Below are 25,790 nucleotides of genomic sequence, written 5' to 3' on the forward strand. Positions count from 1 at the left end.
CAGATACTTTTTCTTAACCTCCCATCTCAGAACATCAACAGGAAAGTAACCAGAGTGAACTACAAAAGTGAACCAATGGTACTGAAATACGAAGTAAATTTTTAGGTATTCAGGTCATGAGGACAATAAGTAGACTGAGGAAAACCTAACTAATCTCAGGAAATGTTCTTAATACAACCATGGGATTTCTGTTTGATAAATTCTTTTTCTTTTTTTTTTCCTTTACGGACATTGTTAAAGAAACTAATAATTCCTACAAAGGAAAATGAAACCTGTAGGTATGAATAGATCATTAATATCACATACATACGATTCTGGGCTTATCGATTTGATGTGGTTCATTCTCATTCTCAACCATGAATTGCATTTAAAATTTTGAGTGTTCTCCACATGTAAATGATAACAGATACAGATACAGCATCATAACTGACCTTAGAAAGCCCTCCCATTAAGTGGGGTCATGACAACTTTCTTGAAGTTTCTGAAAGGAGACCCACACCCAGGTAAAACAGTTCGTATCTCAGTTCGTGCCCTTACTAGCTTATATTTGGGCACATCAAGCAACATTTTTGCATCTCATTTATTATCATCTCTAAAATAATAACTACCTAGCTTATTCCCCCAGCAATACAATTTTTTTTTAAGAATTACGGTTCTTCATTAAGAACATAAAAGCCAAAATGGGACAATACCCATTTATAAATCTTTATGTCTTTGTTTTTTTTTTCTTTTCTGTTCAAAAAGAAAAGAATAAGAGAATAATGACACTTGTATCATATTGTTGAGGATATTAATTGTGATAAAGTTCACAGCACCTGAAACACAATAGGTGTTTGATAAATGTTTCTTCCCTTCTCTAGGAACTTTCCATTTCACAATTGGGCAAATTCCATTGGAAATTTTGGCAATTCGAATCAGTACTGTTTTACTGTCTGTCAGCCCTTGACCCTACTCTTATCTCGTCCCACATCACCTTCCTGTATTTCCTGGCCTTTCCCTTCCAAGAGCCAAGGTCATTGCCCATCTCCCTGACCAGGGCCATCACTTTGCGCCTGTCAGCGATGGCACCCCTGACCCGTCTTATCCGCTGGGGCGAGTCTCAGAGACTCTAAGACCCGACTGGGTTAAAGCAGTGGCCAGCTGGGGCTGATCACTCCCAACCCCGATCTTCTTGCTCATCCTCCTTGCTGTCTGGCCTCGGAGAAGGAAAAGGAGAAGGGAGGGCATCATTGGAGTGATGACATGTGTGTCTTCTTGCTCATCCTCCTTGCTATCTGGCCTCAGAGAAGAAGGAAAAGGAGAAGGAAAAGGAGAAGGAAAAGGAGAACAAAAAGGAGAAGGCAAGGCATCACTGGAGTGATGACATGTGGCTCTCTCCCTTCTCTGCCCTTCACATTTTTCTTTCCACGTGCAGAACTGGGAAGGCTCTGACCACCCCTGCCCCCGCGGTTGCCATGGTTACACAATAGCAGCAGCACCAGACCCAGGAGATGTCTCAGACCTCTCCTCTACCTCCGCCTCAACCCTTCCCTCTCTGTTAGGAGATCCTCCCCCTCGTCTCTGCGCGCCCCCACCCCGCCATCCCCCGCTAGCGCACACATGCAGGAGAACCCTTTTTAGGCTAAACCGGAAAGTTTAGGTCTTCTCCCCTCTTCTTTTGCTTGTGCAAATAGCACTAAGCTAAACGGAAAGTGGTGGGGTTTTGGTGATGAAATAAGAGTCCACGCACAGAAGCTTGCCTTTTATTACCGCTTCGCTCGAGGCGAAATCGCTGAAAGTTCGGCTATTTAACTCCTGTCCCCATAACTCGGAATCCCGGACACCAGCGGCCCCAGCTGCTGGCGCGCGGCTCTCTTCCAGTCCCCTGGATCCCAAAGCTCCCTGCCACAGCGCGGCGTCTCCTCCTCCTGTCAACTTCCCTCCTTGCACTGTGACGGAGGCAAAGCAACTCAGCCCAGGAGGTTGAACTCGAGTCATCAGAGAAGGAGAAACAGTGCCGAAAACGGCCCGTGCGCTACCAGGGTAGCCCATTAACGCATTAACTCCAGGCTCGTTGGGCAGAAGCCGGGAGGAAACACCCTGGGGACCGCACTCCTGGTTAAATGCCCAGCACGAGTCAAATCCGGCCTTTCCAAAGCGAGCCAAGCCCACTACTACAAAGAGATCCCCCGAGTGTTTTGCCTTAACCACATTTCAGACAGCCAGCTTTGTGGCTGCTGTTTGACTCCAACTTTCCCTCTAAATCTAAAAGGATGCACACTTCCATCAGACGGAACGTCGCGATTCCCCGGCGAAGAAAAAGGCGTCGCCCATTCCTCTTCCAAAACGCTACAACAAAAACCACCACGCTTCCCTTCCTTCTTCCTTGCCCCTTTCCCTTCTCCCAGACCAACAAGGAAAGGAGCGAGCGAGGGCGCAGATGCCCTTTGGTCAAGTACTCCCCGGATGTTCCCGACTAAAGCGTCTCCAAATGAACCTGCAGCCTGCGGAAGCCGGGGACACATTCATAGACGCTCTCTGCTGCCCAGACCAGGAGGGGTGGTGGGGGAACCAGGAAGCCAGGGAGAGAGCAAAGTTCCTGGACGCGTCTCAGGAGGAAAACTTTGTGCAGTGCTGCCAGGCGGAGGCTCGTCAGAAGGCTCCGCAGCTGCTGAGGCGGGGTGGGACTGCGCCCCAGGGGCCGCGCTGAAGCTGGCGCCGCGATTACTGCGCACCGATTTCGCCCACTCTCTGTCCGCTCCCGGGAGCCTTCTCTGTCTCAGGACGGTTCCTTATCTCCCAAACCATGCTCGTCCTCCACTTCGGACCCACAGCCACCCCCAAATCCCGGCTATCCCCGCTTAGCACCGCGGTCTCCAGCACACCCTCCCACTGGAGTAGCAGGTGACCCAAACCAGACTTACCTGCTGTGAACTCTTCTCTCCCTCTCTCTTTTCCTGGTGCCTTTTCAGGGAGAGGGGAACGGGATGCAGGCTGAGGTCCAGCGGCGCGGCAACCCGGGGCACCGGCGCGCGTTCCTCTGAGCCGCAGCCCTGGCTGAGCAAGCGGAGCCGCCGGCAGCCCTGGCAGAGCCGGGAAGCTGCGGCCGCAGGGGCCAGGCCGGGAGGCAGGGGGCGCTGCTGCCTCCCCCGAGAGCCGCGCTAGGACAGGCGGAGAGCAAGGCACCAGCTGGAGCTTTGGGGAGGAGAGGGTGGCGAGGAAAGGCACGCTCCAAACAGGAGGGCGGCTTTTAAGTTTGTGGTGTGACCGCAGCAGCTGTCCTGGGAGAGACTCAGTCTTTCTAAAAAGAGGATGCTGAAAACGCCGGGGATTACCTTTCCCCTTCCGATCTCCTCCCCCAGCCCTCGCCCCCTCCTTCCACTGCGCACGCCAGAACTCCCAAGCGTGCAGAAGTTCATCCCTGCTGCGCGGAGGCTGCCAGCAGCGTGGATTTAGAGGTAGCCCTGGCCAAGCGCTGACGGATGTTTATCAGGACAGGGCACCCTATGTGTAAAGCAACCTCTAACGTCTGATCTTCCTTCTGGGTGACTTGGGGACTTCTTTAGTTCCTTCTCTATACCATAAAACCTGTTAAGGGACCCCATGAGGAAGAAACAGGGAGAGTGACCACAAACACCGTCCTAAAAATGCTAATCCCACAAAACAGTACCTGCGTTCCACTATGTAAAACCTCAATCCACGGTTAATGGCCTTGACAAGGCAGGCATAGGGATGAGGAACAGGGATCAACCCTCCGTTAAGGGGCTGGCACCCGATTAAGACCAAACAGGGAGAGATAAAAACGAGTAGAATGTAATCCTTTCTTCCTCTTTCCCTTACGCCAGACCTACAAAGAGGTGTGCCTCATATCCTTGTCTTCGGGAGTTTTTTAGATTTTTGCACCCCTTATTCACACAGTAGGAACTTAGAAGTATATAATGACGAGAAGATCTAAGTTTTGATGAACCTGGATCCTATGCAATTGGAATAGAGGATCCTCTTTAAGCAAAAGTAATGCAGAAATATCTCACTTCTACAGATTCTGCAAAAATATATGACAATGAGAGTTCATGAGGCCACCGTCAGGGACATTAAAAAGGCCTGTGCATTTGGTGAGCCCTGTACGTTAGGCATTTTTAGCTGCATGGTAAATCCTTTGTGATGGGATATCCAGGTTTATAGTCACACACCTTGCCCTTAGTCCCAAACATAAATCTGACATGAGGTAGAGACATGGAAAGCAAGCAGCCACGGGATCCTGCATTTGTCAGCTTGATTTAAGAGCACAAGGTGTAGGGTCCCAAAGCTTCCTTAGCAAGTAACAAGAGATATCTTGATTTGGAGATGGTGAACAGACAAATGCAGTAATGGAATAACTGAAAGGGGTGGAAGACATTCTTCATTTGACCTTTTATCTGTGGCAGAGGGCTGAGGGCCACAGAAGCTAAAGGAGTCATTTTAAGTTATAAATGGTTGATGGCAGAGTCAGGCTAAGGAAAGGCTCAGGTTTCTCAAATCTGACCAAGGCTCTTTCTTGTGTCTCATGCTGCCCCATCTCTATAACCTTGGTTTGGACTCACAACCAATCAACCCCATAAATACCCTCTTTGGATAGAGAAAAAAATTTTAAATCCTCGTAGACTATTTCAAACTATAGCAACTTTTATTTTTTTTCTGAATGCTTTATATTTAATGTTATACCACTCATTCTGTACATAGTCATGCAATTGTTTATTGTATGTTTCTATGTGTTTATATTATTTTCATTTGTATATGTCATTGCACTTCCATGCAAATTGCAATGTCATTGTGCAAATAAAATATCTCTTTTTTTCTCCCGTATATGGTGGGTTTATAGTAAGTAGTTTTTGATTTTTAGAAAATCTCTATTTTTAAACTTTTAAATAATTTTGTCAGTTTATTGGCCAGAATTTTGTGTTTAACTAGAATTGTGGTTAACTTTGGATTTCCCATTTTCCTCCTTTCTCTTTTAAGTTGTAGCTTAATATGCTTAAACCAAATGACACCTTCCTTTGCTACCATTCAATACTTTCCATAAAGCCCTTACAGAATTAATCACTCCCTCCTGTTTTCCCAAAGCACTTTGATTTCACTACTATAATAAGCTCTTTTCACTTTATATTATAATTAGTTATGCATGTGTCTGCATCCCATACAAAAGTGTTGGCTGTTTTGTGTCTTTGTTTCTTCAGCCTCTAATACAATGCCTGTGACATTGTATTGTACTGATTTAGTTTGAGATGCTCAGACTTCAAATTTAGACAGAATTTACCAGAGTATCCTGAACATATCATGAGAAAACAACATCTGGAACGTGAATTCTGTGCTTTCCTTCCTTTTAATGACTCTGAGCACAAAGCAGATGGAATCAACTGTTAATATGTTGCCCAATGTGATGAATGGCCTCAGCTGTGTCCATGGCTCCGTAATCTTCAGGCTGCTTCCCTGAATGTCTTGAATGTGTTAGGTGCTTAACAAATATTTGTGTGTTAAACGAGTTAATAAAAACAGTAGAAATAATGTTAATATTCAGTCACTGGATTTATTTCTGAATTTCTAATAACTGTATAGGGTCCCACCAAGATAGTTTTAACAACCCTTTCTAAGAGTTTGAGATCTACTTTCATCAAAAGCAATTTGGTATTCTGTCCTATAGGGCTAATACCCTATCTAAATTCTTAAAATAAAACCCAGTGGGAAAAAAAGTATATTTTACAAAAAGTTTTGCTAAAATACAAGGTGTATTGTGCAGTTTAGTTTGTCTTCAAGGGTGACTATTCAAGATTTAACGAGTGAGCCTTAATTTCACTGAAAGCGATGTGTATATCATCAGTTAAAACCACCTAATTGTTGCTTGTATGCCTGTTTCAGTCCAAGGGGAAAAATACAAACAAAAAGAAAAAGGAAAGAAAACAAATAACTTTCATGTTCTTGGAAACATTATTGAATAAATAAATTGTGTGCCTTGAGAATCTAGGCTATTCTGAGACATACTACTCCTCACCCATCTCTATTTGGGCTCACAAATATAATATGAGTAAGTAATTTTCATTTTATGGTAGTAATATGTGTTAGGCAATATGAAATACACTATTTCTCAAAGGATCACATTTAATGCCAAACAAATCCAAAGAATAAAATTCTAATTGTAGAATTTCAGTAATCATCCATCTATGTTGAGAGCCATGGGAGAAGGCAGCAGGGATGGGTTAGGGTAGAATAGACATATTGTAGGCTTCTCCAATTCCACATATAGCTACCTCTGAACAGAAGACAGGAGAAAGGTAATTACTGGGTCCAGAGCTTAAATCTAGCAGAAGATTTGGCTGTCCTCTCAGCAGAAGATACTAAAACCAACAAAATCTACAATCCTAGTTCTCTCTGAACAGTTTTATATTCACAAATCAAATGAAAATTTGGTGAATTTGAAAGAAAATTATTGATGAAGGAGACCTCAAAGTTTATACACAGAGGCAAACAAGAAAAATTGTGTTAAAAAGCATGTCATTTTAATGTTTACTTCTCTAAAACTAGTCATACCTTAGTCATTCAGAAAACCTCTCTGTCTTATAATAAATATCACCTTATAAACGTTTTCTCATATATCACCTTATCAGCACTGACTGATAAGAAATGTTGTTATCCTCATCCAAGAAAATCGGCGTGTATGTTAAGTTACATCTAGTTGGAACAAGTGAGTGCATGAGTTTAAAGCAGCTCACCCAGCCCCTTATCTTCTATTAGCTATTTTCTTCTTATAAACTCCAGGTATTTTTTTCCATCTATTTCATTTGATCGTAGCAATACACTCATCACTGGATCATTAGATATTTACATTATAAAATCATCTGATGTGTTTAATGGTGGGGAAAAAAACACACCTGACTTTCATCTTTTATTTCTGTATTAATTATAATACATAGAACTCTCAGAAGTAAATGCATCCCTGCTTCTCATCATCAGATAAAGACAGAAAACAGTTTATCTTTAGTTAATTGGTATGTAAAACTGTCCAAACTTTGCTTCATACTTTTAAGTTTTAAACTCTTATAAAATCATAAATAATCATAAACATTCATAGTCAGAAGACACCTCAAAACCTTCTATCCCTCATGTTAGACACAAGGAAACCAGGGCCAAGGAAGACATAGTTATCACTCAGCTCCTTATGACTTCTGACTTGATGCCCTCTGTAGAATATTTCACCCTGCTATAGAGACTTTTCTTAAAAAAAGAAAAGAAAAAAAAATCAGCTATTTTTCAAAACTGTCCAAGCCAGAATCTTAAGGCTATATTTACTTAGCTGGGTTGGGGTGTGGTGAATAATTAAGTTCAGCAGGAATGTGCTTCAAAATAAAAATAAAAACACAGTCCAGCCTCTTTGGCCCAAATCCTGAGACTTCAGAAAAGAAAATCCTTCTTGACTACCAACATTCACTAGAATTTGGAACGGTTTTCCACGCCTGATATAGGAGTCTATATGGTTGTTGCAGATTGGGATAATTTAGTCAGATAAATGGCTTTTTGTGTTTGATTTGTAACAATGTACTTATATCAATAAACAATCCCCAAGGAAGGATTTTAAGGAAAAATAAACAACTTTCCTATGCACAATATAAAAAATCATCTTTAAGTTTTCTTTTTAAAAATACTTTCATACTACCACCATTCTACCCTTACAGCATGTTTTAGATACAGTGTATTCTTCTAAGAAAATGAGGTTGAGGAGGGAATTCCTGTGATACCCAGCTGAGGCAAGCCTTATTTGTGTATGAGTGACGAAATAAAGAAAAATATGCCCTCTTGTGGCTTATTTGTTCTGGTTCACAATTAATCAACAGTACTCTATTATTTCCTGAAACCCAGACATACCTGTATTCCAAGTGGAATTAAACTATTTCTTTGTGCAGTAACTGGCAAGAGCAGGTCCATACAGACAGCAGGAAGGCATTCCAACACTTCTGCTTTGTTCAAGGTCATAAGCAGCTGCTTAGCCACAGTGAAATCAGTATCCCTGAAAAGGAAGATTTTCCAAAATAACCCATAAATTTATATAGATATTATCAAAATCCCTTCCAAATAAATGCATTAGATAGAGTTTCTTTGCTAAATATTGAGGTTTGTTTTGGATAGACTTAAACCATCAGTTTCCACAAATGGGAGAAAATTCATGATTTGCTTTTCTACTATATTTGTGCCTCTACTATTTCTTTGACTGTAAGACATGTTTATTTTTCCACTATGAAAAGTGAAGTGTATAATAAAGCATTTAAGATAATAGTGATTTTCATTCTTGCATATTTTTATCTCCTTTTGCCCTACTTTACTCAGAAATTAGGATGTAAAAAGTGTGTTACATATTGTGGGCTGCAGATATAATTAATTTTATAATATTACAAAAAATGCCCAACATGTTTTTCTAAAACAACAAAAATGAAAATGGGTTTAGTGGGGAACAGTTTCTGATCAAGAAAATGACTTTCATACAAAATGTCATTTAAGTAACTTAGTAACTAAGTGAATGTCAAAGGCTTAAAACAAGCCAGGTGGCTAAATTTTTAGTTCAACTCTATAATAATAACTATTATTATTTTTAGTATTATTATTATACAGACAATGAAACTTAAAGTTAAGCGACTTAAAAATAAAATATTTACCATCTGACTGTAATTCCTTTGTTCATTAAGTGAGCTAGTAGGGCACTTCTAATCTTCACCCTTAATTTAGCAAGTTACTACCGAACTAGACCAAATTCTATCTTACTAATCAGAAAGAATAAATGCAACTTCTCAAAGTGCCCAATTTAACGTCGGAGCTACTGCTTTTCTAAGGCACACAGTAACATAGAATCATGTTGCTTTAAGCCTATTTAGTATAGTGAACATTTTGACCTTTGATGCACTGATGTACTTTCATTAGAATTATTTGGAAATAATATTCACGAAAGAGTTTAGGACTTTTAATTTCATTTTAATGTAGTGAATAATATTGTGTCATCATAATACCATTAACAAATTGTATTCTTTTTCTATTTGCCACTTCAATAAAATTACTTTTCCTTATATCAAGCAAAGTTTTACTTTCCAACTTTTATTCTTGAGTTTGTCAAAAAGAAAGTCTACATTAGGAGTCTATGATAACCCATTTATTTTTAAAAATCTCTACTTTTACTACATTTAAAACTTACAATTCTAAGAAAAGAAGATAATTACAAAAGATGATAACATAGCCGTTAACTTCTGGGTTTCAGTCCAGCATGTAAGGAGCTTAGCGGCCAGCACTTCATCCCAACAAGAAGTAAAAAAACTGAACAAAATGATGAATCAACAGTTCTTCTTGGATCGCTCAGAGAAATAAGCTCATGGGGCAAATTCTGTCCACCAAATGGGAGAGACAGACAGGGGGACACAGAATCACAATTTACCAGGACAAAAATCACAGGAACTTTCTTCAGGTGGGAAAACCTGCATGGAAATTCACAAGTTAATGGAGGCTTGGAGTGGACAAGTCTGAGATTAAAACACTCCAGGGAGACCCAAACAAAGGATGATCCCTACATTTTTGTGAGCTTTACATCCTGGAGCTGTAACTGGTCCTCACAAGAAGTATCAAGAAAAAAATGTCCCCTCTGCCTTTAGCAGGGAGAGAGAAAGAAAATAATCATTTAAAAATACTGTGGAATATTCTGTTCTCGTTGGCAAAGCTACCTTCAGCAGAAACTATATGACCAGCGTCTAACCTGCTGGGATTTTATCAGAGCCTAAGTAACATGGGAGAAGGGATATACTCAAAGCCAGCCTGCTTTAGCCTACCACTTTGCAAGTAGAAAATATTCAACTCCAGCCCTTTCTGGTCATCCTATCCCACATAATGGAGGGGGAAACAAAACAAAACAAAACTGAGAAGCAATGATGAAGTTCACAGTTCAGGGGCACAAGTTTAACAAAAGACTGGGACCTAACCATAGCACTGAAGGATACTTCCTCTTCTTCTGGATCTTACCACTACATTGCTAAAATTTTATGGCTGCAGTTCTTTTTATATAGTATATCATGCCCATCTTTCAACAATAACAACAAAAATTATAAACCATACTAAAGGAAAAAAAAAAAAACGCAGTTTAAAGAGACAGAGCAAGCATCAGAACCAGAGTCAGATATGGCAGGAATGTTGGAATTATCAGACTAGGTACTTTAAAAACCTGTGATCAGTATGCCAAGGGTTTAATGGAAAAAGTAGAAAGCCTGGTAGAGTGATTAATTTTTGTAGATAAGCTTTATACCATGCAACCTTGCTATAATGCTCATTAGTTCCAAGATAGTTTTTTTGTTGATTCCTTCAGATTTTCTAAGTAGATGATTATGTTATCTGCAAACAAAGATAGTTTTATTTCTTCTTTACCTATCAGTCTGTCTCTTATTTCTTGTTCCCATCTTGTTGCACTAGCTAGGAGTTTCAGTACTTTTTTAAAAAGTAGTGGTGAGAGGAGATAGCATTGCTTGTTTCTGATCTTAGTGATAAAGCTTTGAATTTCTCACCATTAAGTATGAAGTTAGCACTAGGATTTTTGCAGATGTGCTCTATCAAGTTGAGGAAGTTTGCTCTATTCTCGTTTGTTGACAGTTTTCATCATGAATGGGTGTTGGATTTCGTCTAATCCATTTTCTGTATTTATTGATAAAATTTTATGTGTTTTTTCCTTTTCTTTTGACTGTTGATATGCAAACAGAAAAAAAAATAGCTTCATTGTTTTCAGGTAAACTCAGTCAATGATTTTTCAGCCATTTAACGTTTTAATCATATTTCAATCCAGGGTTCTACAGTTTTTTGCTTTCTCCCAATGGTAGCATTTAAATTCAAAGAGGGCTTAAATAAATCTAGGAGTGGAAGGGAGGTATATTGGTTTTCTAGAGCTGCCATAATAACTAACACAGAGCAGGTAGCTTAACAAGAGAAATTTATTTTCTCACATTTCTGGAGGCTATAAGTCAAAGATCAAGGTATCATCAGGGTTAGTTTATTCTAAGTTCTTTCTAATTAGTGTGTAGATGGCCATCTTTTCTGGTGTTTTTCCATCATCTTTCGTGTGTGTGTGTCCTAATCTCCTCTTCTTATAAGGACATCAGTTATATTGGATTAGGTTCCACCCATATGATCTATTTTACCTGACTTACTTTTTTAAAGACCCTATATCCAAATACAGTCACATTTTGAGGTGCTAGGGTTTAGGACTTCAATACATATGAATTGGTGGAGGTCACAATTCATCCCACAAAAGGAATGAAGGGCATTTTTTGTTTAGAGACATTTTCTTTCTTCCATTGGCATACATTAAGATGAATACAAAGCCGCCTGCTAGGATTTATCTTGTTTTCCCATTGTATCTGTGAAATACCTACAGTTTAGTTATGGCATCCAGTTAAAAATCCCCCTTATTCTGCCCCTTATTTTAAACACTAGGTTCCTTTGGTTAAATGATAGTAAAGGACATTAGTACCTTGCTTCTGGGCCTCTGTAGCTAGCAGCCTCACAGTTGTACCCCATAAATACAGTGGGGTAGGCTTGACCAAAGGTACAGGATATTCTATAATCCCCAGACTTTGCCAAACATTGGGAAACTGAAGAAAACCCATATTTTAATCTAACTTTTTCTTTCTCCTTTTTTTCTTTTTTTTTGAGACAGTGTCACCCAGAATCTGAGTCGCTCTCTCATCCAGGCTAGAGCTAGAGTGCAGTGTCATGGTCACAGATCACTGTAGCCTCGACCTCCCATGCTCAAGCACTCTTCTCACCTCAGTCTCCTGAGTAGCTGGGGCTATAGGCATGGGACACCTCACCCAGCTAATTTTCAACTAATTATTTTACTTCTTCAACTCAGCGCTGATTTTTCCCAGAATGGTCAAACTTCATATAGCCCTGAGTAGGGATAGTCTGGTTTTTCACCTATTGTCCTTCTTAACTCTTTTTTTATGGCATATACTATATTTTTTAGAATTTACAAAGTTGAAAACAAACAAAGAGACTTTTTGGGAAAATACTAACCCTTGAATTTTGAGATACTGCTAGGCATTTAAAAAAGTCTATTCAGAAATCTTAAAGTTGAAAGTTGGCTTTGTTTTATTCAATTCCTTCGTCTTCCTTTCAGTAAGTGATCACATAGTTCATGGAACACTTAGTTACACAAAGCATGATGAGTCCTGAGGTAATCAGGAATTGCTGAGATAAAATATTTGTACCTCAAAAATGTTATTCCAAAATGTATGGCATATATAACCAAAGATGCTATTTAAAATTTGTGAGACAAAGATACATAATCAATAGTTTTAGAATAGAATGATGAATGAAATATTAAGAAAATTTAGCAGCTTTTTCCCCCGCAACATTTCTCCAAATAGAATGCATGCATTAACGTTTTGAATGTAAAAATGAACTGACATGCTCAAGGAAAATTGGAGACCCGTAATACAAATATAATAAAAGTGAATCTAGAATCCTACCTCACACCCAAACAAAATAATTCCAGAGGGATTTGATCTAACAGTGAAAGGAAAAACAATATCATTTAGAAAACAAACAAACAAACAAACAAACAAACATGGAAGAATATCTTCATGAGCTTAGAGTAGAAAAAGGTAGTTTGAACAGTACACAGAAATGTTAACCATAAAGAAAGAGCTTCATAAATTGGACTGTATTAGATTAATAACTCTGGTCATCAAAAGAAACAATTAAGAAAGTAAAAAATCAAGCCACAGAGTGAGCGAAGTTATTGTCAATCCATATATCTTCACATCCTTTACATATGCAGAATATGTAAAGGATTTACTTGAATCAATGAGAAAAAGGCAACCTAGTAGAAACAGGGAATAAAGACTAGAAAAGACTTTTCATCTAAGGGGTATTCAACAGCTATTAGAGATCCATAAAAATATTTTTTAAATTTTATAAAAGGATATTCAAAAGTCCAATAACTTTTGTAGTGATCAAGGAAATGCAAATAAAAACCACAATGTGATTCTACTACATTCCCACAAAAATGACTAAAATGAAAAAGACAAAATGCCAATAGTTACTGAGGATGGAAGTATCAGAATTCTCATGTACTGTGGGTGGAAATATTTGTAAAACCACTTTGGAAAACCCTGAGGACTAAACTCTGATTTTTTTATCTTGCCCAAATTCCTGTTTAAGAGGTCTGGGGAGTCATGCCCTACAAATCATAAATTCTCATCAGATTTTTTTTTTAATTTAATCCTGTATATTGTGACTTACTTCCCAACCTGACTCTGTCATAACATTACAAGACAAGGAAAAAAATGAACATGTTTTATCCAAAAACATGTTTCTTTGCCATATCTTGAAATGGCCCTGCAAAGCTGTCCTTTGTGGGGGAAAATTTGCAACTGGAAAGAATCTCTATTAACATAGCTAGATCTTTTTCTTCCAGGCCCTCCCAATCCTAAAGAGATTAACTAAAAGCCTAGCACCTTTTAAATATCTGAATAGGAAACAGTTGGCATCTATTGCCTCTAAGGGCAGCCACTATAAGACTTCAAAAGAACCTTGGTCTCCACAAATCTTAACCTGAATGTTTCCTTTCTGTGATCCCAGGTTTTTAGATAAACCCAACCAATTTTCAACCAGAAAATGTTTAAATTTACCTGTATTACCTATAGCCTGGAAACCCCCACCACCCCCACCACCCCTGCTTTGAGTTGTCCCGCCTTTCTGGACCAAACCAGTATATTTCTTAAATGAATTTGATTGATGTCTCATGTGTCCCTAAAATGTATAAAACCAAGCTGCACCCCGACCACCTTGGGCAGATGTTCTGAGGACCTCCTGAGGGCTGTGTCATGGGCCATGGTCACTCATATTTGGCTCAGAATAAATCTCTTAAAATATTTTACAGACTTGGACTCTTTTCATTGGCAACCCTTTGGCAGTATAGATTAAAAACTAAATGTTTTAATAACCTATAACCCTGCAATTCTACTCATAGAGCCCAAGAAATATATTTCCAACAAAGAAATGGACAATAATGTTCATGGCAACACTCTCTGAAATAGCCTCACATTAGAAATCACTCAAATTATTCTCAACAGTAGAATGGATGAATATATTGTGCAAAATCCAATAATCAAAAGAAGGTTATACAGCAACAAAAATAGATGTAACTACACCAACAATGTACATGTCTTTAAGAAAATTAGTAGTCCTTAAAAGCAGACACATTCACAGTATGATTTATGGTTTTCACCATACAAAGCCTTCTCATTTATAGGAATAAACAAATTGATGCTAAGATTCATATAAAAAATAACCCCACAAGATTAGGAGAATTGACTCTTTTTGATATGACTCTTCCAAACCAATAGTAACAACTTCACTCCATTTCTTCAAGTTTCCTTTTTGTCTTTCAAAAATGTTTTAAAGCTTTTTCCCGTACAGGTTTTGTCTGTTTCTTAATGATATCATTACTAGGTATTTTAACTTTATCACTGATACTGATAAGTAAGGCTTTTCTTTCATTATATTGTCTCACTAAATATTGTTTTTGTATATAAAGCTTATTGATTCTTGTGTGTTAGTTTTATATTCTGCAAACTTTTGGAATTACTTTATTGTTTTCCTACCTTTATCATGGATCCTTTGGGATTATTCAGGAATACTATTATATAATTGAGATTAGCTTGGTTTTAAAGGTTTGGTGAAAATTTTTAATAACTATTTCTTCTGTAGAAGTATAACCTTCTATCTCTACTGGGATAAATTTGGATAAATTATATTTTCCTTTGAATGTTATCTATTTTGTTTAGGTTCATCATTTTATTTGCATACTGTTGGGCAGAGTCACTTAATGTTTTAATTTTTTCTTTCCATAATTATTACCACTTGTAATTTATTAGGTTTATGTTTTCTTTCTTTTATGTTTTAATTTGGTTATCTAATAATTATTTTAATTGTTTTTAAAGTTTTTTATTAACTGGTTTAACTGTTTTTCTTTTTTAAAATTTATTAACATTTTGCTTGTCCACTAATTATTTTCTTTTTGCTCCTTTTTTTTTTTCAAGGGTTTTCTATTTGTTCTTTAACTTTTTTGGGAAAATTTACTTCAATCCTATTCCTTCTTTTATTTGTATTACTAAAAATGTAAATAGCCATACATTTTCTTACGATTACTACTTTATACCAATAGTGTCTCAAATGTAGTGTTTTCGTTAACATTAGTTTTCAGATTTTTATTTCCTAATTCCTCTTTCTCCTGTATATTAATAGAAGTTCTTTTTTAAATTTCCGGATAAAGAGACATCATTATTATTTTTAATGTCTAGTTTTTAATTGTGTTATTTTCTAAATCTATTGTAGCTCTGTGAGAAAATATTGCTTGTAATATTCATGGTAATTTTGGGGATTTGAAGGGCCAAATATATGTTTAATTTTCATGACTATTTCTTGTGCACTTGAGATTAAGGCATTTTTCTGTTACCATGTATATTTGCATAAGATTATGTTGCTTAAGTCTTCTTTAACATTATCGTTATTATCATTATTTGCTCTACTTGATTTTTGTATGGAGAATGGTGTGTTCAAGTATTCTGCATTTAGTGTTTTTCAGTTTCCTTTGCATCACTTGTAGTTTCTACTATATAAAGCTAGTTGTTTTGTTAGTTGTTTAGCTATTCATAATATTGTGTATTGTGGTCTTTAGCATTATAAAGTATACCTTTTAATGCCTTTTGACCTACTGTACCTTGTCTGTTATCAGAAATCCAATCTATCTTCTCTTATTTACTTTTTCAAATACACCTTCACCCATTCCTTTATTTTTAGCCTTTTAGAATCACACCATTTTAAATTTGTCCCATGCATTCAGCATATAATTGAGTTCTAGATTATGAGCCAGTTTGAAAATGTTTATCTTTTGTTTTATCCTTCACTTTTTTCTTGTTGATACTGTTAATTTTGAATAGATATGATTTTCATCAGCTAAAATTGTTCATTCTCATTTTCTGCTTTTTTTCCCACTGAGTTTGATATGGTTTGGCTGTGTCCCCACAATTCCCATGTGTCATGGTAGGAACTCAATGGGAGGTGTTTGAATTATGGAGGCAGGTGCGCTGTTCTCATGACAGTGTATGAGTCTTACGAGATCTGATGGTTTTAGAAGAGAAGTTCCCCTGCACAAACTCTCTCTTTTTCTCCACTGCCATCCACGTAAGATGTGATTTACTTCTCCTTGCCTTTGGCCATGATTGTAAGGCTTTCCCACCCATGTGGAACTGTATGTCCATTAAACCTGTTTCTTTTGTAAATTGCTCAGTCTCAGGTATGTCTTTATCAGCAGCATGGAAGTGGATTAACACAGTAAGTTGCTAAAAGTAGAGTGGGGTGTTTCTGAAAAGATACTAAAAAATGTGGGAGTGACTTTGGAACTGGGTAACATGCTGGGGATGGAACAGTTTGGAGGGCTCAGAAGAAAACAGGAAAATGTGGGAAAGTTTGGAACTTCCTAGAGACTTGTTGAATGGCTTTGCCCAAAACGTTGTTAGGGATATGGACAATAAAGTCCAGGCTGAGGTGGTCTCAGATGGAGATGAGCAACTTGTTGGAACTGGAGCAAAGGTGACTCTTGTTATGTTTTAGCAAAGAGCCTGGTAGTATTTTGCCCCTGCCCTAGAGATTTATGGAACTTTGAACTTGAGAGAGATAATTTAGGGTATCTGGCAGAAGAAATTTTCTGCAACAAAGCATTCAAGAGGAGACTTGGGTGCTGTTAAAGACATTCAGTTTTATAAGGGAAGCAGAGCATAAAAGTTTGGAAAATTTGCATCCTGACAATGCAATAGAAAAGAAAATCCAATTTTCTGAAGAGAAATTGAAGCCAACTGGATAAATTTGCATAAGTAACAAGGAGCTGAATGTTAATTGCCCAAACAATGGGGAAAATGTCTCCAGGGCATGATAGAGGTCTTCAGGGCAGCCCCTCCCATCACAGGCCAGGAGGCTTGGGGGAAAAAATGGTTTAGTGGGCCAGGCCCAGTGTCTCCATGCTGTGTGCAGCCTAGGGACTTGGGGCCCTGCATCCCAGCCACTTCAGCTGTGGCTGAAAGGGGCCACAGTAGAGCTCAGGCCATGAAAATGGACTAATACACAGTTGTATATGGATTTTATTTTATTCTATCTTTGCTAATTTCTCTTCTCTTTGAATTGTCTCATATTTGCCTAGACCAGCAATAATAGGTAATTTTGTAAGAGAAGTTTGGGTATGTGGATTCTCAAGTTTCTTTGTTCCACAGTATCCTCTTCTTTTGATATACCAAAAGACAGTTTTATTCATAAATGTCTGTCTTCATTTCAGGGGAGGAAAACGATTAATGGGTCTTCTGATTTTGCAGTTCTCTTTTGTTTTCATAGGATGCTTGGTTTCCACCATTTGCTCTCTTCTCTTTTGCCAGCCCCAATTTCCAAGGAATGCCTCCTCCCTAGAAGCTGTGCTTTCTGAAAACTACTAGCTTTGATCGCCTACACTTTTAAGCCCCTTCATTACAATTCCCCAGTAGTCCATGCTGTGACTCTTCTCAGTAACTTCCACTAAGTGTGGAACTCTTTCTCTTGAGTCATTTAACGTTTCCTGCTATTGCTAGGCTTCACCACCATCTCCTTTCTACTCAATCTCCTTTTTAATCTTAACCTCAGCTTGGGTTCCAGATCTGACCCTACTCATTTTGGGATGTTTATTTTATTATTTATATGTAAATTAGAGATTTTAGTAATTTATATCTACTAGTTAAGCTCTAGATCTCAGTTAAGAGTGGTTTTGTGTGTGCTCCCTCTTGTTCTTTGGGAGTTTTTAGAGGCTGTGAGGAAAGCTTTCAATTGCCACTATTCTATGGAAACCCAGAACTGAGTAGGATTTCCTTTTTCATTTCCATTATTTATTTATCTATTTATTTTTTCAGAGAGGGTCTCTCTCTCTCTGTCTCCCAGGCTGGAGCTGGAGAGCGGTGATGCAATCAGGGCTCACTGCAGCCTTGATCTCCAGGACTCAACCATCCTCCTGCCTTAGCTTCCTGAGTAGCTGGGACTACAGGTTTGTGCCACCAGGAATAGCTAATATTTTTTGTAGAGAAGGGGTCTCACTGTGTTGCCCAGACTGGTCTAGAATGCCTAGGCTCAAGTGACCCTCTCACCTCATCATCTCAATATGCTAGGATTACAGGCATGAGCTATCACACTAGTCTCTGTCTCTCTCTCTCTTTTTATTTATTTATTTATTATTATTATTTTTTATTATTATACTTTAAGTTTTAGGGTACATGTGCACATTGTGCAGGTTAGTTACATACATATACATGTGCCATGCTGGTGTGCTGCACCCACTAACTCGTCATCTAGCATTAGGTATATCTCCCAGTGCTATCCCTCCCCCCTCCCCCCACCCCACAACAGTCCGCAGAATGTGATGTTCCCTTTCCTGTGTCCATGTGATCTCATTGTTCAATTCCCACCTATGAGTGAGAATATGAGGTGTTTGGTTTTTTGTTCCTGCGATAGCTTACTGAGAATGATGATTTCCAATTTCATCCATGTCCCTACAAAGGAAATGAACTCATCATTTTTTATGGCTGCATAGTATTCCATGGTGTATATGTGCCACATTTTCTTAATCCAGTCTATCATTGTTGGACATTTGGGTTGGTTCCAAGTCTTTGCTATCGTGAATAAACTAAAGAGCTTCTGCACCGCAAAAGAAACTACCATCAGAGTGAACAGGCAACCTACAAAATGGGAGAAAATTTTCGCAACCTACTCATCTGACAAAGGGCTGATATCCAGAATCTACAATGAACTCAAACAAGTTTACAAGAAAAAAGCAAACAACCCCATCAAAAAGTGGGCGAAAGACATGAACAGACACTTCTCAAAAGAAGACATTTATGCAGCCAAAAAACACATGAAAAAATGCTCAACATCACTGGCCATCAGAGAAATGCAAACCAAAACCACAGTGAGATACCATCTCACACCAATTAGAATGGCAATCTCTTTTTTTTTAAACACAATTGCACTAAGTTGTTTTTTACTGATGAAAACTATATAGTAGAACAAAAGATACTATATGATTCTAAAGAACTGGGAAATAACTTCTGGATGATATTCTTGCATAGGTAAGAGAGGGTGAGGTCTAATACCAAATTGAAACGTTTTCATAGTAACAGGAAAGACAGTTCATCTGTGGTAAAATGAGGTAGGACAGAATTACGTGCCTGCAAAGCAGGTTGGAAGTAGATGATTTGTCATGAGATTTCAGCAGTTCTCCTCATATTGTCTCTCTTTTCTCAAAAATATGGGATTAAGCTCAGTAGCTGAAGATTGGAGAGGATGTAATGAGCAGAGAGCAGAAATATGCGATAGATATCCAGAAGAGTGTGGGTGTGGTAGTCAGCAAGTTAGCATCTTGTGTGTTTCTGTCTTAATTTATTGTAAAAATGTAAATATATTCTTACAACATGTTATATGCTTAGCTGCATGTGTTTATAGACTGATTAGAGGCAGTGTTAGATTTAACTAGAATTGAAGTTTTTCCATTTCTTTTGAATACAAAAATAATATTTTAAAAGAGACTAAAGATAAAGTTTTATTGGAGTTCAGAAGAAAAACATGCAACCGAACATTGTGCAGAATAGAGTACAGGCTTAACTATATGAATAGAATATTGTTAACAGGGCTTTTGAGCAAGATCTTGCAGGATGAACAAAATATAAGCACCTGGAAACTGTGTGGGTAGAAGAGGTTGCAAGGCGAGGCTATTTCCTGAAAAATATTTCATGTGAAGCAACTCCTGATGTGAGAATGTCAGCAGTGTTAAAGGGAATCTGAAAATTTGCAATTTTTCTGGAATGAGGATCTATCAAAGTGAACAGTAGGAAACAAGTTTGTAAAAGTAGATGTGGAAGATGTTATGGAAGGTTGTGGATGCCTGACAAAGAAGCAAGGACTTTACAGATTGAGCTAGAGAAATACAGGGGGAAAACAAAAACAAAAACAAAAACTTTGAACCTAGTAGTAATATCAATGCTTTTCTCTTTCAGAAGGCTAATCTGCCAATACCATATGTTAGAAGTGGGAGATATTGGAATAAAAAAATGCTTCTTAGAGATTATTCCATATTCCAAGGTAACAAAGATCTGAACACAAGCAATGACCCATGGAATGAGGGGAAGATTCAAGTATGAGAAATATTTAAAAATTACATGTCCTATATATTCTAGATTAAAATGTGAAAGCAGATTTTAAAATAACTACTTTTTATATTACTAATTTATAAGAAAAAAAAACACTTTTAAAAAGCTTTGAGCTCTTAAAAATGAATATATAGTGTAACACTGGAAAGGAAGAGACTCTTGCTCGACCAGAATAGACTATTACTTAATTGACCTTTTCTGCCTTAGTCATATGAGAGCAGGACTTTTCCAACTTGCAAAAGGCATTTGAAATCAAAGGAGCATTACACCAAAGAACTTGAATGAATAGACCTTTTAAACTGCAGCTATTGATCTAATACAGTTAAAAAAAAAAAAAAGCACCAGACTGTTGCCACTTAAAAATAGCCTTCCAATGTCATTTATTGATTTAGATAGACTTAAACAATAATATTTCGTAGAATCAGCTTTTAACTGGCAGTTAGTCCTCCAGGCCCAACCCAGTGTAAATCAGCTTAAACTTAAGTACTAAGTAATAACAATTTTAGTGAGGAACCATCTTAATTTTCAGTGTAGGATGATGAGAAACGGGCTCATGATAGGTACGGGAACTTACTCCCTTCCATATTGTTGATTACTATGTTCATCAACAAGGAGAGTCTTCTTGCACAGTGGTCAAGCTAAAAGGGAGCTGAGGGTACTGAATAGAGGCTTTTAGAAGTACAGAGATCTTTGGAACCAGTGTTTCCCAGTCTGACTCATTTTCTTCCTCTAGCCTTAGGAACCAGCCTTCTTGCATCCTATTTTTCCTATTATCACTCTGACTTCCATTCTTTCCAAATATAGTAAGAACTCCAACACACCATTACAGTTTTCCTTAGAACTCTCTATATCTTGAAATAAACTCAGATATATTTCAAATATCCTAATAAATAGTAACATCAGGAGCTAGAGAAAAAATTAAAGCATATAAGTTTTCTTTTTGGTAAAAGTCATTCTAATATACGTGAGATGCTATCTCAATGTGGTTTTGATTTGCATTTCCCTAATGATTAGATATTTTAAGCATTTTTTTCACAAATATGCTAGTCATTCATATGTCTTCTTTTGAGAAATGTCTATTTAGATTATTTCTCCATTTTTTACTTGAACTATTTGCTTTCTCATTATTGACGTGTTTGAGTTCCTTGTATACACTAATTAGTCCATTAGAAATATGGTTTACAGATATTACCTCCCACTCCATGTGTTGTTTCTTCACTTTATTAACAGCTTGGTGACCGTAGTTAATAAGAATACATTTGTCTATTTCAAAATTGTTTAAAAAGTAGATTTTAAATGTTCTCACCACAAAATAATGGTAAGTAGATGAGGTGATGGATACGCTAATTAGCTTAATTTAATCATTATACAAATATCAAACATCATTCTACCACATAACACTTGTAGAATTATTATTTGTCAATTTAAAAAGTGTCCTTTAATTTTTTTCTGTTTCCCTTTTTACTTTCTATTTTTCCTTCTTCTTGACCCCACCATTTTCTGTGTTCCTTTCCCTTGACATCCCTTAGTTAGAATCAATAATTTAAAATATTCCTTTAAGAAGTGTTCAGTCTCTTGGATTAAAAAAAATCAAACCCTGGGACAATTTGTCCTTCTTTTGCCTCTTTCCCCTAAATCATGACCTAGTGCTTATGTAGCCTCACAGCAGCAGTTAAGTACCAAAGCCCTGGAGTGTGATGTCTTCAGCTTCTTCTGTCCTCCAGAACAATATGCATTATCCATGTAGGTGCTGCTTGCCCTGTTAGCTTCTTCATTAAAGTCTGTAATTGGAACTAGTGATATTTTGATTTCATAAGGCCCAGCAGTGTTTCAAAACTGTCTCAGGCTTGTCTCAGCCCTCACTGTTTCTATGAAACTGTCTGAGATCTGCCTGCTATGCCCATATAGTCACAGGTCAGGCAGTTTCCTCTGCATGTATCAAAACAGTTTCCTGCTGTGACATTCTGACCTCCCTGGCAGTCTCTCCAAACTGGTAGCTAGGTCTCTTTAGCTGAGTTCCGTGAAAACTAATGTTTCTGAGGAAAATGACGTATCAGGACCTCCCTTACAGAGATCACTGAGTTGATGTGAATGTGCCAGGTTGGTGCATGGTTAGGGGCATAGCCTTCTTCCACCCTAACTTATGTAATAAACTTTCTCCTCATCAGGTTTAAATTGGGATACATTTGACAACATCATGACTCTGCTTTCATTCCTTCTCCCTTCTATTCTCCATGAACTGGAAATTACAAATATTTTTCTTCTTTTTACTATTTCCAAATATGTGAACTTACCATACATAAAATTCTTTGGCCCAGCAGGCCAAGCTTGACTCTGAACATATTAAAGGATGAAGGGGGGAAATAGACAATTTTCTTTCAGGACAATCCTGAATCACAGTACTACTGCTTGCTGTAAAATCTTATTGTTGAACATCATATGCCTATTGTAGTTCTTTTCCTAGAAATTATTTCGAAAACACTCCAGGGCTCTAGGAAACAGACACTGCTGACAGACCAAGAGACAGCCAAGGCATTTGGCAAGTGAGAAGCACATGAAGAACTTTTAAAATTTCAACCAGTTACATGTTCTTAGGTATTAATGGACTGTCTTGGAGATCTAAAGATTAAAGAAAAATACTCAAATGCTTAAAATGCTCAATTTGGAGAAGATGGCCAGATGATTATCTAGATCACTTTTCTCCACCAAAATGTGGGTGCATCTTGACATGGGCCTGGAGAGGAGGAGGAAAAGAATGGGTATGTTGCACAGTCATTAAAGTGTGTCTTCAGGCTCATTGTTTGATGAAAACATGCTGTTTTTCAAATACATATATCCACATGATTGTTATTGTTTCTGAACTTTTGCATAATCAATAATCCTATAATTAATACATTTTCATCATATCCAATACATTCTGCTTCTGCTTTAATTCCTCATTAACAGATTTAATAAGGAATTTGATAAGGATTTGATCTCAGAAAACTAACACCATAGAGTCTATTTAAAGAGATTTATGGCATGGAAAATCAGTAATTGTTACATACTTATCAACTTGTCCTAGACAAGAGAACAAATAGTGAAAGCTATGATTCATTTATAAATTAAAAGCTTATAAGATTTTTTTACATCCTTTATTTGTATATTTAGAAAGTGGTTAATGTGACATGTGACAGAATTACTGGTCATAAGTAGAAAGATATCGGGGTGTTTTCATCTCCTTCAGCCAAACACCGTAAAAGAGGACAGGCTTTATAACTGCCTTCTCGTCTGTTTATGCAAGATGTTTCAATGGGGTAGAATACCAATTTTCATACATTGACAAGGAGGTTTCAATAAATATCTAAATACTGTGTTTTTAGATAATAAATACTTAATAACATCCAATGGTTGATTGCAGAGAAAACAGTTTGCCAAAAACCAGCTGTAGAAGAAATTAAAATGATATTTTTTCAAAGTGCAAATGTTTCCCATGATATTTACTGTGAAGGCCCTGCTAATCTTTCCATTTCAGGAAATGTGTGGAACAAAAGGTGTATTAAAGGAAAGTTAAGACCTGGGTGAAAATTCAGAATTTTAAAAAATTTTAAATGTCAATTACATTGCTCTGTTGCCATATATCTAGATTGACGGATTGAGAATTTTTTCCATCGTGATTTTGTGAAGCAGCAGGTATTTGTAAATATAAACAAACATATAAATTAGAGCAATCATGTTACCTTCATGAAAATATTCACAAAGATTTTCTTTAATCATTAAAAAATTAATCTGTGGATTGCTTCAATGAAATTCATCCTTGCCACTCTTCAAGTTATAGAGCTTACATGGAGATAGGTCTTTATCTTGGTCATTTATTATAGGAAAAAAATCATTTAATACATTAGTCACAGCCTTACTATCTGTAATGCACGCTGTCAGTTAGACGAAAATATCTTGTTGCTTTTACTGACTTCAGATGATATTGAACATGTCTTTCAAAATTTTAATTTCATTTGTTTAAATAATATGCTAAATCACTCCCAATTTACTCACATTCAATTTTAAAACTTGAATGTGGTAATTAACAAAAGAAAGTTCAGCAGCCATTAATTACAACATATCATATACATATTAATTTACATAATTGCATTTATCAAGTAACTACCCTAAGTGTAAAATATTGCTTAAACATTTAAAATATTTTGATATATAATGTCAAAACAAATTGAGACATTGCTTACCTTATTTAACCATTGTATAATAAATAAAATTTAAACGTCTCTGAATGCCTGAGATTGACAGCAACAAACAGATATAATATTTCATCATCCATAAGATATTGTAAATTTACAATACAATAACTGCAGGAATAAAGAAGCTCTAGTGTTCAGAAATTAGTGCACCATAATGCCAAATTTGAAACAAAATTAACCATTTGATTTTTAGCAAAATAATTAATTTTAAATACTTTAATTTTTTTCTTGTTTTCTAGAAATTCATTCTATGCTTGTGAAATTTGGATTTGGTTTCACGTTTGGTCAAATTTTGATTTTGCTACCTGCTTATTTGGTATTTGTCAAAATATAAATTCAGCAGATCCTTTGTACAAAATCCAGACATTGGGAATTTGAGCCTGGAGAAGCAGCACTAGTAACTTTGAGGAAATGATAAGCTTCTCTGCACTCACCTGCTCCATCGGATCTCTCCCTGCACTGCCACTGGAAATGTGAGAAAGGTGGGGTGGCAAAGACAGTAGGTAAGTTAAGGCAGGTATGAGCTGTATCCTTCTCTCACACACATTTATGTTTGTTTATTTATATATAGCTTTATATAGAAAAGAAAATACACGCAATACTACAAATAATCTAGATATGTTCATTGAAAGAGGGTAACTTAGTTTTAGATTTGAAAGGATCAGGACCACTGAAGGAAGATAAGTATAAGGCCTGTGTCCATCCCAGTCAAGTGTAGCTAAGGACACTTTTATGCCTCGTTAGCCTTATTTAACCAGAGATTAAAGCTACAACACTGCGTATGACCAGCTTTCCAAGTTAATAAGTAGAAATGACAAAATATGTTAATTAAAATCAGTTTATAGCATATAGCATAGTATATAGTATGAAATTTGACAGAATGAACTCAAAATTTAACTACTGATATGATTTATGGTAAAACCAAGTCTGGTATAAATGGTAAACTACCATTTCTTTTTGTAGTGCATATAGTGTAGAATTTTCAAATATATATACATATGTATGTGAATATATATATACGTGTGTGTATATATATGTATATGTGTGTATATATGTATATGTATACACACACGTACAACCGGTGCTATAGAACTAAAACTTTGTGCAAATTATTGTCATTATAGTTTACATACACAATCTGGTCCACTGGGTAAATACTAATTAGGCAATTGGGAATCAGGAAAAGGCCTCTGAAGGGATGATGGGGAGGAAGAAGGACAGTGGGGACAGACTGAACCATCATAATGCATCACCACTGATTAGATGCTCTGTTTCTCACTAATCGATTACTTAAAAGCTTTGAAGAGCA

At 37.1% G+C, this 25,790-nt stretch overlaps 1 protein-coding gene across 5 annotated transcripts in view, besides 1 other annotated feature; it reads right to left on the reverse strand.

Annotated features, from left to right (window-relative positions):
* The window catches only part of SEMA3D (semaphorin 3D), a 254,691-nt gene that overhangs the window by 188,222 nt on the left and 40,679 nt on the right, over positions 1–25,790 (reverse strand). For 3 of the 5 annotated variants that reach the window (NM_001384901.1, NM_001384903.1, NM_001384902.1), the window contains exon 3: positions 7,873–8,014. The gene's annotated coding sequence lies outside the window, so the exon portion shown is untranslated. Of the gene's footprint in view, positions 1–2,903; positions 3,283–7,872; positions 8,015–25,790 lie in introns of those variants that run through there. The other 2 variants (NM_152754.3, NM_001384900.1) reach the window with 1 other exon arrangement.
* Positions 3,094–3,153: a silencer, noted in NCBI's record as "silent region_18338". NCBI's record gives its function as "represses an Ori minimal core promoter by ATAC-STARR-seq in GM12878 lymphoblastoid cells {active_cell/tissue: GM12878}" and the evidence as "EXISTENCE:reporter gene assay evidence [ECO:0000049][PMID:35858748]".

The sequence above is a fragment of the Homo sapiens genome, chromosome 7, assembly GCF_000001405.40.
Source record: "Homo sapiens chromosome 7, GRCh38.p14 Primary Assembly".
Classification (NCBI taxonomy): Eukaryota; Metazoa; Chordata; class Mammalia; order Primates; family Hominidae; genus Homo; species Homo sapiens.